This window comes from Homo sapiens, chromosome 5 (genome assembly GCF_000001405.40).
Source record: "Homo sapiens chromosome 5, GRCh38.p14 Primary Assembly".
Classification (NCBI taxonomy): Eukaryota; Metazoa; Chordata; class Mammalia; order Primates; family Hominidae; genus Homo; species Homo sapiens.
Genome location: NC_000005.10, coordinates 17,911,038 through 17,930,695, shown reverse-complemented (window position 1 = coordinate 17,930,695; position 19,658 = coordinate 17,911,038). Strand labels below are relative to the sequence as shown.

Here is a 19,658-nt window from a genome sequence, read left to right as displayed (position 1 = left end):
ACATATTACCTGGTGATATTCTGCATCTGTACTTTTATTTATGATGTTCCCAATTCCAGAAACTCTAGTTCTATACTTGTCCTTCTTATAAACTTTTCATTCATAAAGACTGCAAAAAAACTTCAGCTTCCTCCAAGACAGTTCCTGGTGTTTCCTGCCCCAACCACAGAACCCCTAAGAAATTATGTTATTATAAAACCATGTGATAATGTTGAGGTTGTTTATTTTCTTGATATCTTTCCAAATAGATCAACTTTTCTGAAAGCAGAGATCAAGTTTTATTTATGTATGTGTTCCTAGGATGTTCAATAATATTGGTTATACAGAAAGTATCAAATAAATAGTTGTTAAATTGTTGTTAAAATTTCCAATAGGGGACATTCAGTGAAAGTCCACTGCATAAAAGCACAGTTGATTGTAAAATGGTACTCAAGGAAAAAATGTTCAAGTTTAGCTACAAGAAAAAGACACAAGAAATAGTGTAGGAAGCCAGGCAACAGGGTTCCGGAAGAAACACAAAAATCAAAGATGACACCAGACCTCTAACTTCTCCCTAACTGTGGACACTTCTCCTAACAAACAGTATCTACTTCTTAACATTTATCTATGAATAAACTCTTTATCTTCATTATTGCTATGGTCTGAATGTTTATGTTCCTCTAAAATTCATATGTTGAAACCTCACCCCCAAGGTGATAATATTAGGAGGTGGCAACTTTGGGAGGTGGTTAAATCATGAGGTCATGTGATATGATTATGTTATTGTCAAATATCTTTGTTTCTAACAACTTTGGACACTTGAACTTAAAAACTCTGTTTAGGAGTATTTACCACAAATGTAATAGAAACAGTTGATACTTTGAAGATTAAAACAAATCATAATAATAATGCTAATATCAGATATAATAATCATAATTGCTACCATGTACTAAGTGCCTACCACATATGATAGGTCCCATATCAGACACTTTATCTTTAACCTTCATAAATAAAATGTAAGTAGCATTTTTTCCACTTTAAAGCTAAGGAAAAAGAAAACAACACAGATAAATTAAAGAATTGGATCTCAGCTCAGGTCTATTTGAGGCCAAACTTGTGCTCTTAAGAATACAAATTGACATAATATAACAGAACTAATTTAATATAAAGTGGATAGCTTTGAGATGGTAAAACTTGAAAAACAAGGATAAGAGTTACATTTGCAGCATTTAGTCCCAAGAGGCAAGATTTCTGAGGAACACACTGAACTGGATTTCTTCTTGCCATTTACTGCTGGCATTCACTTCCGTTTCATTTGCTTTAAGTGTTGTATTTCATTTCAAATTGCTTCCACTGTTACTAAAAATGAATTTAGAGCACAGAGGAAAAAAATACAGACAAGTTATTTCCAGTTCCTTAGATGAGATTTTCAGGGCTTCTGTCATTTGAAAGCAGAATCTTTTCTTTTGCTACTCTTAGAGGTAATTATATAACTAATGATTAGAGTGATTGTGGCTTTTCTTACTGGTTGGGAAATTGCCCTCATAATCTTGTACCACTCTAACCCACCAGTCTCTCAAAATCTTCTCCACGGAATCCAGCAGATAAAAAGATTTAAGAGTAATCATTTGTCACCTTTGCTTTAAAAATTAGACTTATAAATGGAAAACTCAGTTTTTGTAAAGAGCTGAGGTTTTTGTTTTTGTTTCTGAACAAAGACCGGGATTTAATAGCATACAGTCGAAAAGAAAAGGAGAACATCCTCTGTAAGGCTGAGGTTTCCCCAACCACAGTAGCAGAAATGGACATTAAGGCCACCTAAAAGGGAACTTTAACAGAAGGGAGGGAAGGTCAGAGCTGTGACTCAAGCAGCACGCCAGAGCTGGTTCTGGGAAAATGACCAGCTGTGGCTGGAAGCCCAGGCTGGACCAGCCATCCTGGATTAGAAACCATGCTTTGGGGAAAATGTCTGAACATGTAAGCATTAACCAATGAGCCTGACCTGAGAAATCCAAGTATGAGCCTCTCCACATTCCAGGCAGGGACTGTGCCAACCTGTGTGTGTTAACCACACACTGGATTACATGGAGCAGCTTGCAAGAGAGACATGTTATGGCAGCAACAAGAACAAAAACAGGCAAAAACCTGATTTCACTTGTGCACTGAGTGAATTCTACAGTTTGTCCTTAAATAAAATTGGGACTCTGGAATGGGTAGTTGGTATTGAGTAAGTCTCTGAATTATCTTAACAAGTCATGCAGGCAGTGAGGGATTTCTTTAGAAAGATGCTGGACTTCCTCCTAATCTGAAAAATGGGGTCCCTACCAGTTTTAATTTTGAAATGAGAGATATGTTCATATTAGCACTCCAATCTGTTAATGTGTGTTATACCAGTTGCATATACATTTCTGCTAATTGAGTAAGCTGAATACAGCTTCTCTATTACATTATATGCAACCAATTCTAATTTATGATTTGCATGTATTGTGTTAGAGGGAGTAGATCCTCCCTAACCAATGAAATTAAGATTGCAGAGTCCAGAATTGGCAAAATGAAGCAGAAGTACCCTTAGAGAAATCTGCTTTAATAAGGCTTATTTTAGTCTGATTGTGTTACACATTATCAACTCACAATTTTCATAACACTGAGAAGCTCTTATTTCAAGTTGATCACATGTTGATGATCTTAAACAAATTATTATTTCCTTCAGTTAACCAAGATGAAATCCTCACATCAGCACTCTCAAATTATTGTAAGCTGAATGATTGTGATATATATTATATCCCAGGTTCATAATGCAATTGTTTTTATAAACATAGGTTTATGACTTTATATTTTGGGAACCGTAATATTTTTTGTAATGTCTAACTGTAGCATTCTTTTAGGAATGCACAGCAGTGTAACTGTATATTTCAAAAGGTAGGAGTACTAATTAGAGCTTTAAATGTAAGTTGAGTATCTGGACCTTATTGAGGATTGTGCTGCCTTCTTAATTCTACATAATATTTATGTACTACGCTACATATTTTCAAACCACTCTTCTCATTGATGACTTATTCAATCTCACTATCAGTGAACATTGAAAAGGGTAAGCATAAAACCCCCAACTGAGGGATTATAGAAAATAGTAGCTTCCCGAAAATCAATAGATATGAACATACATCTTGATCTTTTTGGAGATTATTTTTTAGGAGGTATAATCTTCACAATTTCTCTGGCTTGACATCTAGACTTTCATAAGCTCCAAGAGTTCAGAGGGACTGGGGTCTTCATCGCATTGATCAGTTTATTACCCAACAGTCCCAAAGTCCTCCTAAAATTAGTCCTTTGGCAGAAGTACATCCCAACTCCATTAGTGCTAGACAAAAAGCACTAGGTAAGTTATCATGTACAGCCCCTCCTCCCAATAGACCTAGAATACTGTATTGATCTCTGCTTGTTGAGTGGAACAACAAATATATTTATTCCTCAATGACGCCAAAAATCTAGTTTTGTGCCTAGACACCAGGTTTCCAATATTTAGAAGAATTAAGACCATTTGCTCAACTGTCCAGACAATTTAAAACAAAAAAAAAACAAGGAACACATTCTTGACTTTGTGTTCCTCTACATTAACTAATTAATGCATTAATTAATTTTAAGTTTCCATATTGGCCTCTCTCAGCAAATGAGGTTAATTTGTGAAAATTCTCAGGAATCTCCAAGGCTAAAGCACCAGTGTAAGCAGGTTTTCTGCCTGATGTTTCTGGGTGCTTACCAATCAGTAGCACTTCCGTTAACTGCCAACTGATACGTGAGTGCTGTAAACCAGACACATGACATCCCACCTTCCATCCCACAGCATTGTTTGGCTGCAAGACATGGAGCTTGGCCGCTGACTCCTCTCAAGACTTCTGGAAAATAAGAAAAAATAATCAAAAAAAGCAAAAATCGAGGGTAGCCTGATTTAATCTGGGATGGATTTCAGGTGCTGCAGAGGTAAGAAAATATGACCCTGTACCTAGTAATCATATCTTTAATAGATTACACTTTTGAAATTTAGTATTTGTTAATTTGAAATGAACAGTGTATTTTTCACCTATTCCACTATCAGGGGTACATTGATATCTCCGTCTCTTTAAATTCATCATATTAGCATTTTCCAAAGCAGTGATCATACATCCAAATTTATCTCTTTCTCTAATAGAAAGAGATTTGTACGGTCAAATGTCCTACTAACACCGATTCAATCTGAAAAAGTAATCAGAGTTAAGTGTCTGTATCAGGAAATAAAAAAAATTAATTCCTCTTCAATTGCAAATTTCCATTTCCATTACCTCAAAGACAAGCATATCACTTGTTTATATCTAGTAAAGCACATGGGAATTGCTGTCTTGAAGGATAATTAGGAATATAATAAAATTTTGTTTTTGTAATACATAAAGAGAAAGAAAAAAATGCAAAATGCAAAACAGAAGTAAAGTTTCGACAAAGGAACCAAAGGTGAGAAAAAGATAGGGCTGGGAGATGATTCATGGAGCTGCCATTTCTGCACAGCTGAGCAAAAGGCACTGGCAACTTCTTCAAGGAAACTTGTCCAAGGTATTTGCAAAGATGTTTCTGGACAGGAAGCAGATTTGCTTAGATTCCAAATTTCTAAAGTTGGAGTCCTCCTCCCATCTCCTGACATGTTCCAGGGTGATAAAAGTAACATCTCTGTCCAAAGGCAGATTTGTTTTCTGACCTGAAAATTTGTTTCTGATTAGAATTATAATGTCTCTCTTCAGAGAGAAAGATAGGCAAATGTGCTTGTGGTCCCCTCATGAGGTTGGAGAGCTTTCTAAGCTCAGTGTTCTTCAGGCATAACCACAACCCACTGTGTGAGCAGCATTCACCTGGGCCTGCTCCGCATCACCTTCTTTGGGACTGGGAGGACAAGAGGAAGTGATGCAAGCCTAAGTCTCATGCTGTCTATTGTGCCATGAGCAAGAAACAGTCTAACTCCACTTAGGCTCACTGTCGCCTTGCTGTGATTGTGTGGCAGGCCCACCCAGCAGCTTCAGTAGTAACTGCTGCTTAGGAATTGCTTGACTGATTGGCAGGTGGATTTAGAAATGTAAACTTTGGTCTTAGACTTATATTCTTTGCTCTGTTTAAAAGAAGGAAACTAGAAAATGTGTAACAGGCCTGATGGCACATAGTGTGGAAAGAAGTCTTCATAGGAAAATATCAGTACAGGGTTGAGAAATACCCCACCTCTGCTGAGAAGGTCAAATAAAGGCTATCCAACGTGTGTGTGCGCGTATGTTTGTGTGTGTGCATATGTGTTTGTGTGTGTGTGTCTCCAACGTAGTGTGTGTGTTTTCATCTCAAGCATTCAAGCTCTCTGTGTCTGGGATTGAAATGGGAATTGGGAGACAACAAATCTGAGATGTTCCATATGTAAATATAAGATAAAATGGACTTCTACTACACGCACTCTCAGAAACACACATATTTGTAAGCTCTAGGGGAGAAATGTTCTGAAAGATCCTGTTGACCAAGGGGAGATAAATTTAAATTAGTAGCATATTTCCTATTAATATTAATTTGTTATATATAAAATAGTGTTAAAATTTCCTTAAATTTTTTACTTCATTTCAGTGAAAATAAAAATATTGTTAATGATTTCACAGAATTAGCTATTTCATGGAAACAACTTATTTTTCTAAACACTAGTCAAAAAAAGAACTAGACAAAGCACCAAAAATTTACCATTAGTGTGAACGTTTTGATTTCTGTAAAATGCAAATATCTCTAGAAGGAACAAAATTAGCAATAATTATCAAAACTGATAATTGTGAGTCAATTTCAAATTATCTGGAAAGAGAACTTTGGTTAAAAAAAGGAGCAAACCATGTAATTATTCATGACCAACTAAAACTCAAAATTGTTGAATTGATTGAAAGGTCGTTAATCAGGAATATTGCTTTACATAGTGGCGTATCTGACAAAATCTGTGTCAAAGAGGTTATTTTCGGCCGGGCGCGGTGGCTCATGCCTGTAATCCCAGCACTTTGGGACGCCGAGGTGGGCAGATCACGAGGTCAGGAAATCGAGACCATCCTGGCTAACACGGTGAAACCCCGTCTCTACTAAAAATACAAAAAAAAAAATTAGCCGGGCGTGGTGGCGGGCGCCTGTAGTCCCAGCTACTGGGGAGGATGAGGCAGGAGAATGGCGTGAACCCGGGAGGCGGAGCTTGCAGTGAGCCGAGATCATGCCACTGCGCTCCAGCCCGGGCGACAGAGCAAGACTCCGTCTCAAAAAAAAAAAAAAAAAAAGAGGTTATTTTCTATCTAAACTAATTTGATCAAAGACTTTATAAAAGCCAATGCTTTCAAACTAATGAAATTCTAGTATCTGCTTTCTGAATGTTAGCACTCCCCTTCTCCTTTATAAATCTCATCTGTCATTTCAATATTTGCCTTCAGTTTCCCTTCCATGTTTTCTTTTTTTTTTTTTTTTTTTTTTTTTTTTTTTTTGAGACGGAGTCTAGCTCTGTCGCCCAGGCTGGAGTGCAGTGGCGCGATCTCGGCTCACTGCAAGCTCCGCCTCCCGGGTTCACGCCATTCTCCTGCCTCAGCCTCCCGAATAGCTGGGACTACAGGCGCCCGCTACCACGCCCGGCTAATTTTTTGTATTTTTAGTAGAGACGGGGTTTCACCGTGTTAGCCAGGATGGTCTCGATCTCCTGACCTCGTGATCCGCCCGCCTCGGCCTCCCAAAGTGCTGGGATTACAGGCGTGAGCCACCGCGCCCGGCCCCCTTCCATGTTTTCTTATGTTCCTCCAACCATATCCAGCCCTTAGTGTAATGGAAAATTATATTCTCTAGATCAATCCCTCACCCGAGAAACATCTGAGCAAAGCACTCAAAAAGAACACAGAACAGAGTGGGCAAGAATTCTTTCTACAAAGAAAATGAATGTTAGGAATTAGAATGAAACACACAGTCCACCCGCTATAGCCACAGGTTCCTGCGCAACTGATTCCAGCCAACCAAGGATCTAAATATTAAAAAAAAAAAAATGCAATAATAATAAAAATCACACTAAAACAATATAGTATAACAACTACTTACATAGCATTTACATTGTACTAAGTATTATAAGTAACATAGACATTATTTAAAAGTTCTATGAAAAAACTATGCCATTTCATTTCACAGACTTGAGCATCCCACCTGGGTCTTGGAACCAATTACCCATGGACACCAAGGGACAACTGTACTAATTAGATATATGCATTTACTTGCTAAACTGCTATTAAAATATTTATTTGACACGATTAGTATTTATTGTCTTTAAAATCCATTTTGACCAATATTTTTTATTGAAAGAATAAAAATTTCATTTTGAGGTCAAATGATTGTGCAGTATTTACAAGCCTTAATGCTTATTATGTGACAACATGATGTATTGATGACATACACATTTTTCAGTGTGGCCTGCCTAACATTCCCAAACTTCATATAAAAAAACTTTACTAAAAATTTCTCTATTTTTTCTTTTAATGTAAACTTACTAATGCATTCTGCTAAATATATACATAAAAGAAAAAAATGGTATTGTTAATAGTATTTCTTGTTTGGTATTTATGAGGAGCATTTTTTAAATAAAAGAATCCTGTTTACCTTCTCTTCAAAGAAAAAACAAAAACCTGAAGAACTATTTCAGGAAATCACTAAATTTTGGACCATTGACAAATTGCTGGCATAAAATTGAGGGAAAAATATTTGAAGGATATAAATGAAAGTTAACTTATTGCAAATCAAATTCTAGTTTGGGGATTTTAAAATTTCCATGTGTTTATTCATTATTAGAGAGATTTATGTTTTATTTATACTTTTGCAAAGTTAAATAACTTCAAATGATAAAATCTTGTTACACTTTTTCCAATGCTTATCTAATGATATGGTTGTTTCATACCTGCACTTCACAGTTTTAGCATATTTGTCTGCTGTTTTATATGAATAACTTACTGCTGATATATCAAAAATCTCATGTCTTTGTTATCACTGATCAACAGTGCCTGTGATAAATGTTGTAACTCAAGAAAAGTTCCTGTTTCAGTAGCTAACACATGTAGCAGGTGGCATCTTGTCTTTCAGTATCAGCCCTTCAAGTAGCCAGGGTGGGCTGACCAGTTTCCCAGTTAAAAGAGTGCAAAAGGCCAGGCACGGTGGCTCATGCCTGTAATCCCAGCACTTTGGGAGGCTGAAGTGGGCAGATCATGAGGTCAGGAGTTCGAGACCAGCTTGACTAACATGGTGAAACCCCATCTCTACTAAAAATACAAAAATTAGTATTTTTGGTGGCACGTGCCTGTAATCCCAGCTACTCAGGAGGCTGAGGCAGGAGAATCGCTTGAACCCAGGAGGCAGAGGTTGCAATGAGCCGAGATCATGCCATTGCACTCCAGCCTGGGCAACAGAGCGAGACTCCATCTCAAAAAAAAAAAAAAAAGTGCTCAATCTAGCCAGGTTCTAGAGAGTAAGCGCTTTCCATTACCCCACCTATGTGGTGGTTAAAGCTGTGAAAATTGGGGACAATTTCTGGGATCCCTCCAGAATAAGAATTGGTCTGTCACTGAGACAAGGCCCAGATACCAAAGAATTTCTTTAGGTTAAATCTGCTCACAAAAGAGCATCAGGTCAATTTGACTTGTCCCCAAGTATGATCACAGCTGTGACGACCTTGATGTTTTAATTCTCAGATTAAGTAGTTCTCCTACGTCTAAACCATTTCCAATAGAATGTGATGGAAAACACTCTTCCTTTCTGCTCTCAATTTCCTGGCTGAAACCAACCCCCTGGATGCCTCATCCCTAACATCATGATAATTTTACTTGTTTCTCCAATCACCTCCCTACCTCTGTATCTTGGTTTCATCCACCCAAATTTATTCCAAAAATGTTTGAATTCTGAATCCTGAAGACAGATGTTTGAAGACTATTGATCCCTTCTTCCCAATAAACAAGAAGCACTTAGACAAATTGAGTGCTTTGGGAGGCCCTCACATTTATACCAGGAGGAAGGGCTTAACGTTAAGCCAAATAGAAGATTGTAATGGTCTCAATATCTTTTTTCTTGTCTGTGATCTGCCAGGCTTATATCTAAAACAAAATCCCACAAAGTCTCCCCAAAACTGTTTTCTACCGTTTTCCTTAATTGAGGAAAAAAAAAAACAAATTATTCTTCAGTAGGCAGAAGAGAAAAATGGTGCTTTTGTAGTGCTCCATCTTACAAATGTATTACCAGCTCCCAACAAGACTGCACAAGGAACTCCAAGGGACAGCCTGACTTGTGAATACAGATTCAAACTCCTAAATGGAAATTAGCAAATCAAATCAAATGTGCATGTATGCTTCCCATTCCATCACATTCCAATAATATTTATATCATAATTGTAATGTTGAGGTAATAGCAATAGATCATTTTGATATTTAATTGGATTTTTACATTTTAAATATTAATTTAGTTGTAAAAATTCTCATATGATGAAATGAGAAATAACACTTTTATCCCTCCCAAACTCCCCTGTCCCGTATCACTTTCAGATACAGTGATGCATTCTTCTTTTTAATGGCTGGGGTATTATCTCATTGTTTAAATTGAACACAATATATCTAATTAGAGTCCCTTTAGTGAGATTAAAACCACTTCCAAGTTATTAAAAAGCTGCACTAAACATTAGGTATGTGTTTGAGTACTTTCATTGCTTAAATTTCTGAAATTATAGCTGCCTGATCAAAGGTATTTTAATTTCCTAAAAATTTTAAAATAAGTTTATAGACAGAATATGCCAATTTTAATGCATGAAAGTGCCTATTACTTTAGACCATCTAGATGAAAAAGCTTACCTCCATATTGTTTATGTTGTTTAAAGTTGTTCTTGAGATTTAGTTTATTTTAATGTACGTATTGGTTCCTTGTATTTCTTTGTGAACTCTGTGTTCATAGCTTTGCCTGGCTTTCTCTGGAACTGTTAATGATCTTGTTGACAAGAAAGAATTTTCCTTAAGAAAAATTAAAGAATTTTCCTTAAGAAAAATTAAAGAAGCATTATAAACTGAATACAAAATTAAAGTTCTATGAAAATTCAACCATTTTCTGAAAACATGTTTCTACTCTTTTAATATTTGAAATTTATATGGTGTGCTAAGAGCTTATTACTATTATTGAATATGAAGCCATTTAGAGAGTAGTGATTGATTTTAATCAACATTGAGGTAAGATACAAAAGAATGTGGAAGGCTCAGTAACGAGCAGGATAGATGTCTGGAGGTAGAGTGCTACAAAAGTTACCAACCAGCCATCAGCTTGAATGATAGATTACCTTAGTGTAAGCATCAAAATAGGAGATAGGTGCCAATAAAAACATTTTACCTTGTTATATTAGTTTGGCCCATACATGCTGAGGTGAAAAGCCAGCAAGTTCTCTTCCAGGATGTAAACGTCTTTGGACTAGGCTGCAAAAATGGAAAAACACAAGGGTTCTGATTCTTTCATTGTTTGAAATTGCTGCAATAGGAACAATATTAAGAAGTATTAGCTTAAAACCCAGAAAAATATTATCTCCTAAAAAATATACATGTAGCAACTCCCCGGTTTCCACAATTGAAGGGACATCTAAAATAGGTCACTTTTTGTATACCTGTTAAATTTTGTTCATGTTATTCATCTACTAGTGATGTTTGTTTCATCTTATGTCAGTTTTGTTAATTTGTATATTTCTATTAAACATAAATCAATTTGACATAAATTATCAAATTCATTGGAAAATTCTATTGTGCTATTTTAAATCTCTACTTCATCTCTAACTAGTCCTATGCTTTTTTTGATGTTGTTTACTTCTTCCTTTTTAAGTGTTTCATGTATGTATGAAATGAAAGGGACTTTTCTGTTGTTTGATGGAGTGTGTGTATGTGTGTGTGCATGTGTGTGCGTGCGTGTGTGTGTTTCATGTAATTCTTCATTTCTGAAAATTCTGGACCATTTTATATTTGAATATAGACAATTTGTCTTTCTATTTTCTCTCTCTTCTGCACCTTCCTTTGGTCTTCTGTTAGAGCTTCTCATTCTGTTCTCTAGGTCCTGTGACTTCTATTTATGTATCTGGCTCTGTTCTGGAACAATTCCTCATATCTATCTATAATCCCTCATAGAAAGCAAAGAAAACTTTTTTAGTTTTTACTTTGTTGCATAATTGTATTCTTTTTTCATGAGTATTATTTACTTATCTTTTTAAGAATTTTTGTTATATTTATTTTGAGATCCGCTTCCAAAAGTATCCCATCAATTCTATTTCAACTTGGATGTAAATTCTTTCATTGTTAGGTTTAAGTATATCTCTTAGTTTTAGATTTTCTTACCTGCTATTTATTTATTCTTTTTAAAAATTTTATTTTATTTTATTTTAAGTTCCAGGATACATGTGCAGGATGTGCAGGTTTGTTACGTAGGAAAACGTCTTCTGTTTTTAATTCTTCTTTGTGAGTTAACATTGTGCAGTTCTTAGATTTATCCAGTTCCTCCCTTGGGGAGTAGAAGCCTCTTGATGTAGTAACTCTGCAACTGTTGTGATCTTTCCTGCTTTCTACTGAAAGAAACAATTCTAAACAAAGTCCAAGGTGAAAATCCTCCTTCTGGAGTCTCACATCACAAAATTGGAGTGAATGTAGGGAAAGTAAACCCTAAGTTTGTGCATTAACCAGTCTTATGATTCCAGTATGACATGGATGAGTCAGAGACAGCAGCTCATTTCCAGGGGAGACCCTGAGCCAACCATTTTAAGTATCCAGATCTTTTCAAGCAGAGAACTAAAGTAAAGCAAGATCTTAGGCTGCAGCTCCAACCCCATGCTGGCATTGAAACAGGAAGCCTCACAGCCAGGGTGCATTCCCCTGCGTGTCATGTGCTCCCCATGGAAAGTATATGATTTTTTTTTCTGTTTCACTGCCAATAAAAGCAAAATAATATTGCTTTAATCATTTATTTTCTATTAATCTCAAGTAGCTACTATTTATCTAAAGGATTTTACTGTACATTGTACTTTGTTGTCCTTTAAAAGCCATTACTTTGTTATAACTTGTCACAGTGATTATTATGACATCTTCTAAATGACATCATATGATTGACAGATTCGACATAAAAACTACAGATATACTTAATTTTATTTGGCTTACTCAGGCCTTTTCAAAAAACCTGTGGCTAGTTCTGAGTTCCCAACTTAAAGGTTAATTGGAAGACAATTCATAGAATAACTTGATTTCATTTTGTTTGCATGTTGTCTTTCTTTTCCTCACTAATGCCAATAATTCTTATCATTTTGGTACTATTATTCTCTAGCTCTACGATGATACAATGAACACTTTGTTACTATGGGGGAGATATTTCATTTTATTTGCTATGCTTACATTTGTCAAATGATTCCCCAAATAAATACGCATCTTTCTAGTCTCTGTCCTTTCAAAATTTCAGGATAACATTTCAGAAAAAAATTTATTTTGTTATACTGGGCATAATAATAATATAAGAAGAGAGAAAACCTAGTAATATTTAAGAGTGTTGGTGTCTAACTTAAAAAGATTTTCTATTTTGAAACATCTCTTACTAAACACTTAATCTATCACTTAGAAAAATTAAACTTCATGGTTAGTCTCATGTGTATGTGTGTGTTTCATGTCATTCTTCATTTCTGAAAATTCTGGACCATTTTCTATTTGAATATTGACAATTTGTCTTTCTATTTTCTCCCTTCTGCACCTACTTTTAGTCCTTAATTATTATTATTATGCAAAGTCACATGTATTATTGTGCAAAGTTTTATGAGGTTCAAGAAAACCTTTGAATGTTTAAATTTGTTTTAAATTATTCTTGGAGAATTAGAAATTGTCTTAACTTCCATAAACTGAAATCCTTCAAGGATTGTTTTAAAATCTCCAACATTTTAGTTAGTTGAAACTTGGCAAATTTAGCTTCCAAAGCATTGTGTTTTGATTCAATGATTTCATGACAGTTGGTTGGAGTGTGTGTTTGTGTGTGTGTGTGTATGTGTGTGTGTGTGTGTATGAGTGCATGCCTGTGTTGGTGTGTGTGTGTATGTACTTGTATATGTACTTACTAGAAAATGCTTTCTAACTCTTTTTCCAAATATATAAAATTGAATTTATTTGCTTGGCTCCATATTCAAAATTTTATAGTAATGAAAGACTAAAATATGTTATTATAGATATTGCTTAAATATATTTTTATCAAATTATGTCATAATTATATAGATATGCTGGGGTGATGGGGAAAGAATTGCATTTAATTAGTACAGCAATAGGAAGAATTTATATGTTAACAACAACCATAAAGTCTATTTAAAAATAAACTAACATATATGTATTTAGAAAATATATTTTGGAATCAATTTTATTTTATCTAGCTAATGTACGTGACACCAAACATTGAAATGACATATGCTCCTCTGGAATGAACTCTGATTTTTTTGGTCTTACTCCTTATGCTAATCCATATGCTATAATATATATAAATCAACCTGTGGCCAAAACTCTGTTGTCAGGATTTAAATATCCTATTTATATGAGATTAAAAATAGCTAACAAAGAGTATCTTTAAAATGGATCCAACAATAAAACAATTACCCAAGATAAACAGCCTGAAATAGAGAAAAACAGGACAGATTTCTCACATTGCACATATAAAATTACAATATGCATTTATAATGCAAATTAGGTAAATGAGAGAGATGAAATGGTATTGTTTTGCGTGAAAGTATTATATATAAAAATAGAACATAATGGACTATCACGCCACAAGGGTTTTTTGTTTTTGTTTTTGTTTTTTAGTATCACACAGTACTATTCCATATTTATCATTTGGTTCTATTTTTAGTCCCCAACTCTTACTGTCAAAATCAGACCTTCTTAAATTAAACATTAAAATACATCATATCAACCACGTACCACACAATTCCCCATATGGCGCTGTCCTCACATTCCACACACTACTCTCTCGACTTTTGCACGCATTCTGTTGCTATGGCCAAAAGTGAGTAAATTTAGCCTATGTGAAAATAAAGAACGCTTATCACCAGACACATGCATCCCACCCAACTAAGAGGTTTCCTTCCTTTTTCCATCTCAAAGACAAATTTACAGAAGAAATTCTCCAACCCCTTGAATTTGCAAGCAGAAAAATCTGATAGAAAGTTTACAACTAAAATTCTCCCAACCATCGTAAGAGTAAACTCTGTTGAGGAGGAGGATTTTCATTCAATTAACCATTCAATTAACCGTTTTCAGTTGAGCACCTAGTATATGTCATGCACTATGGTAGGCACAAAGAATACAGTTATGAACAAAATAGACACAGTCCCTGCTCTCAAAAAACTTTTACTATATATGTGATACAAGATATTAATTAAGTCACAGTGATAGTATTATAATTAGATGACACACTAGTTGGCTGGCTGCCATAACAAAGTTCCACAAATTTAGTGGCTTAAACAAAGAAATTAATTGCCTCAACGTTCTGGAGGCAAAGATTCTGAGATCAAAGTATCGACACAGTTGGTTCCTTTTGTTGCCTATGAGGAAAAATCTGTTCCATGCCTCTATCCTAGCTTCTTGCCGTTTTCTGGAAATCTTTGGCATTCTTTGGCTTGTAGACTCGTCAACCTCACCTCTGCCTTGATGCCCACATGGCAGAGTGTATGTGTGTGTGTGTGTGTGTGTGTGTGTTTCCAAATTTCCCCTTTTTTAAGGACACTGGCCATTTTCGTTCATGGGTCCACCCTAATGTAGTATGACCTCATCTTAACTAATTAAATCTGAAATGACCCCATTTTCACATAAGGTCACATTCTGAGGTAGTAGGGATTAGAACTTCAACATATGACTTTGGCATAGGGGGAAGAGGACACAATTTAACCTATAGCAGATAATCAGTGCTTTTAAAGGGAAGGCCACCATTTTACTAGAGTCTAACGACATTCTGCAACCTGGAGCAGGATGTGAGGGCTGAATATTGGTGAGGGATAGTTTACCTAACAGTATGACTTGATGAAGAAAATAGAAAAAGAGAAATTGAACATAGATGCAGAAAGAGGGAAAAAGGCCACCCTAGACTCTCTCAAGTTTCCAGGTGATTTTGTTCCATTGTGTTCAAAACTAGGGGAAGCTAACCCATTGAAACATTGAATAAGCCTATCACTTTCTCTTCTACTGCACTTGAGATGAATGCCTATGAATGATTGTAGCATAGACAATGCCTACGAACAGAAAACCTTCTTTCAATCATCATCCAGAGACTAGAGAGACTAGACTCACTAAAGAGATAAAAAACAGAAGTATATAAAAAAAATTCAATAATGAGACCAAAATATGTAGAACTTCAGTATGTACAGTTAAATTCATACCACATGCAATAGTGTCACAGAAAAGGATTAGGAAAGATAAATCCAGAGAACGATGTGAATTTTACAAGATAAAAATTGACTACATAGTTGCAAGATAAATATTGTATGAAAAGTAGATACAGGAAGGCGAATATAGAGTAATTTTGTAAAGATATGATAAAATAAAATGTGGGACAATGACAGAAGCAAGAACAGAGACGAGACCAATTTTAGAAATACCAGTGTATAGTAACACTTTCTGAGAAGGTCTAAAGTGCATTTGCCTCAGATTTTGGTACCTATTGACCTTAAAAGGCAGCCCCTGGAAATTAATATGGAAAGTCTTGTAAGAAAGAAATGCTGGCAAATGTTTAATGGTTGACTTTCTGAAAAAAAAGTATATATGAACAATATAAGTATAGATATAGATATACAAACCTAAGTCCATTATAAATTTAACTGATATAAAGGATATGCAGCATATAACTTGCAAATAAGATATACATTACTCTTTATTGTAAATTTCTTATGGTGAATTTATTCACACAAAATGGTCTCATTTATTTTTTGCCAAATTCTTATATAGTCAACCTAGTTTTGCAATTAACAAATGAGAATAATTCCAACTGAATGTTGGTTAATATGAATGTTAACTTATTAATGAGTAAGATGACATTGAAACAATAGAGATATGTGTTGGAACTTCACTCATTCATCAAGGACCGGAATGATTTGTTTGCCGATTGGATACTAATATTTAGGTACCAGAATATTTTCACCATGTGTGCTATTCGCAATGTAACAGCTACAGACACAAGATACTTTTAAGTTTAATCAGAATTATTATATTTTATCCATTACTTTATACAGTCTATACAGTTAAAAAATATATGAGGCTCTGACAATATCTGCAGTGTATAAACTTCCACCATGGCTGATTTCAAGCTACCAACCTGACATCATTGAACGCAAATTTGAGAAGAGATGCACAGAAGTACCACATCATATGACACTTTTACCATTTAGATATAATAGACATAACCTCAAGAACTTAGACAATAGTAAAATTATTCAAAATTGATGAGCACTGAATATTTACCACTGTTTTAAAATGAATTGTCAGATTTTATAACTTAATTTTTTAGAATGATGGTGTTTAACAATTGGCTCCAAAATTACTGCAGATTTAACAATCAGCCCTCAAGCTTGTGAGAACCAGCTCCAGTACTCCACTGAAACGAACTCACCCTGAAAGTGGAGAGTTTTTAGTCATCTAAATTTGGTTCAAGAGTAAGAGAAAAGAGAAGTTTCTGGCAAAGATAACGTCTGCCACTCCAGTTAACATCGGGACACACCACCGGATATTTTAGGATGAGGGGACTACAATAATAGAGTAAAAACTGAAAGAGTCATCATGTTAAAATAAGAAAGGCATTTGCTTATTAAAAGTTTAAGTCCAAAAACGAACCAGGAGTGAGAAATGTAGAGAGGTTTCAGTGTTTCCCTAAGGCAAATACCTAGACTGAGTGAGGATCAGAAGAGTAATAAAACTTTCATTAAAACCCCCCAAGAAAGCAGTGAGGAAGCCATCACTCAAAAACTAAGAGTTTATTGAATTTTGAGAACAACCGGTTCCAGGTGGCACCTGAAGCTGACATCCAGAAAGCTACTCTTGTTAATGTCGCCAGTGACCTTGAAATTGCCACCTAGAGTTAACAAATTTAGTCTTCAACTGACTTATCAATATTTGACATCGATGTCTATTTCCTTCTTCTTGTCTCATCTCATGCCCTGTCCTCGATGGTACCACTTATTTTTTCTTATTTGTTTTACTTCTAGCTACCTGGCATTTCTCCCATGCACCGTTATTAACACATTTCAGTGCCAGAGTTCCCCGGGGATCCATAATCATCTTTTTCCCCTTCTTACATCACATAGTCCAATGGTCATCAACCAGAGGAACTTTAGCCTGAGGAGACACTTGGCAATGTCTAAAGGCATTTTTTGTTGTCACAGCTTGGAAAGAACTACTGACTTCTAGCAGGCAGAAACCAGGGGTGCTGCTAACCATCCCACAATGCACAGGAGAAGCCCCCACAACAAAGACTTATCCACCCCAATGTCAATAATTTCATAGTCTCCTCTTCCACTCGTAACACTTAATAACTCTCAAATCTGTATCTCTGGACCAGAAATAGGCTTGAAATCTGCCTCTCTCAGTCCACCGTACTTTTCAGTTTTGAGTTTCACAGGCAGCTCTCATGAAACATGTCTAAGAAAAACTTCATCATTTCTCTTGCAAATCTACTCCTCTCCCTACAGCCTCTAATTTTGCCATTGACACTAAAAATGGAACTGAGATTTAACCTAGTCTACTCCACTTGTTTTACCCTTCAGGTCTCATCAGTTTCTAAGTCCCGAAGCTTCTGACCCCAATGCCTCTCTCAAAGGTGCTTCCTTTGCCTCAATACTGATATTTATCATATCATATTAAAAGCCTCTTAACTGATTATCCTGTTTCCAGATTTAGCTTCATTTAAGCCAGGCTCCTACAATGCATTCATAGAGATCTTTCTAAAGTGAAAATCTGAATATGGTCTTCCCTTTATAAAAACTGTAATCATTTCTAACTTTTCCAGGTTTATCCCTTTAGGAGGGATGCAAACATTTCATGATGATAGCAGCCAACTCTATGATGCTGATCCTCAATGCCATGATAAATTCCAGCTTTTCTGAAAAATATCATATTCTGAGAACAGCACTTCCTCTGTGCTGCCATACATTTGCTCATGATTTCATCTTACCCATTATTCCGCAAATTCCCATTTGCCTAGCTAGTATTCATTCATCCATCTCAACTCAATTGAAATACCACCTGCTTTCTAATAGAATGCAATTTTTTAAATGATAATATCCATTTTAATAAGAACATGAGAAAAAAGGCATTCTTATATAATATTGGTAGGTTTATAAACTCCAACAACTATTTGAAAAAGAATTTTTCATTTCTTTTCTGGCAATTTTAAACATTTATTTTATGTTAAAATGTTCATATTTTTATTTTTTGGCAATTGTAAATAAGAATATATTTGCAAAGATGCTTTTTGCAACACTGTTTTCTAAGACATAAAAATGGAGATAACAGAATGACTTTAAAATACGTAAATTAGCTTCATGGAATAACTTACAGGCATTTTTAAAATAAGGTAGATTCATATGTATTGATCTGAAAGTGAACCTTATATTGCTGGGGGTGAAGATAAAACAGTATGTTATTATGATATGTCAGTGAAAGAAAAAAAGATTATTATTTGCTCATTTTAAATAAGCTTTTTATATTGGAATAATTTTAAATTTATAGAAAAGTTGTAAAGACAGTTCAGAGGATTTGTAAATACTTCCTCACCTATTTTCTCCCATTGTTAATATCTTACATTTCCACAATAGATTTCACAAAACTAAAAGAAAACAACATGGGTAGATTACTATTAACCAAACTCCAAACTTTGTACAGTTTCCATCTGTTTTTCCACTAATATCCTTTTTCTGCTTCAAGATCTAATCTAGGGTACCACATTATATATAGTTTTCTCATTGTTGGCTTTATACTCTTCTGTATTATTCGTATTTTTTTCAGTGTGCATATATAGTTCTAGCAGTGTTAAAGGCTCAAGTGTTACTTCCTGGAATTCTTCCCTATCTGAGTTGAATGTTCCTCCTCAGTTCCCAAGGAATCTTGAGCATCCTTCCAAGATTACATGTATTACATCCTGTTATAATCATTAATTTTCTTTTCTGTCTTTAAAACTGGTTTTAATTAGGCAACCCTGAAATAAGACAGCTCTCAGAATTATTAGCTTACTTTGTTTCTTCATGTCATTATACTCCTGGAGCTAATATGCAAGTACATTAATAAAAAAAATAAATAAATAATAAATATCATACATTGTAATAACAGACCCAATGGATAAAACTACATAAAATATTTTTACCTACATCTTTACACACGGTAATGAAATTGGTGAGCACTGAGAGGAAAGGTACAAATCTCACCAGCAGAAACTTAGAACCAGCTAACAAAATTTTCATTTTAAATTAATTGGGTCATTAAATGATTTCATAGTGACATCTTAATGTCAGACAGGGCATCAATAAAATCTGACTGTAGGGTCTGATAGCTAGAGATAACATATGTATAGCATGCAAATAATGCTTATTACTTTTCAGTGAGTGACAAACATTAACACTAATCATT

General features: G+C 35.0%; 1 long non-coding RNA gene across 1 annotated transcript in view; it reads right to left on the bottom strand.

Moving 5' to 3' along the window:
• Positions 1–206: 206 nt before the first annotated feature.
• LINC02223 (long intergenic non-protein coding RNA 2223) overlaps positions 207–19,658 on the bottom strand; it is a 123,216-nt gene continuing 103,764 nt past the window's right edge. The window contains exons 6-8 of the long non-coding RNA NR_134286.1: positions 10,387–10,469; positions 3,737–3,872; positions 207–1,338 (exon numbers count right to left, since the gene is read on the bottom strand). This is a non-coding gene — a long non-coding RNA (long intergenic non-protein coding RNA 2223). The remainder of the gene's footprint in view (positions 1,339–3,736; positions 3,873–10,386; positions 10,470–19,658) is intronic.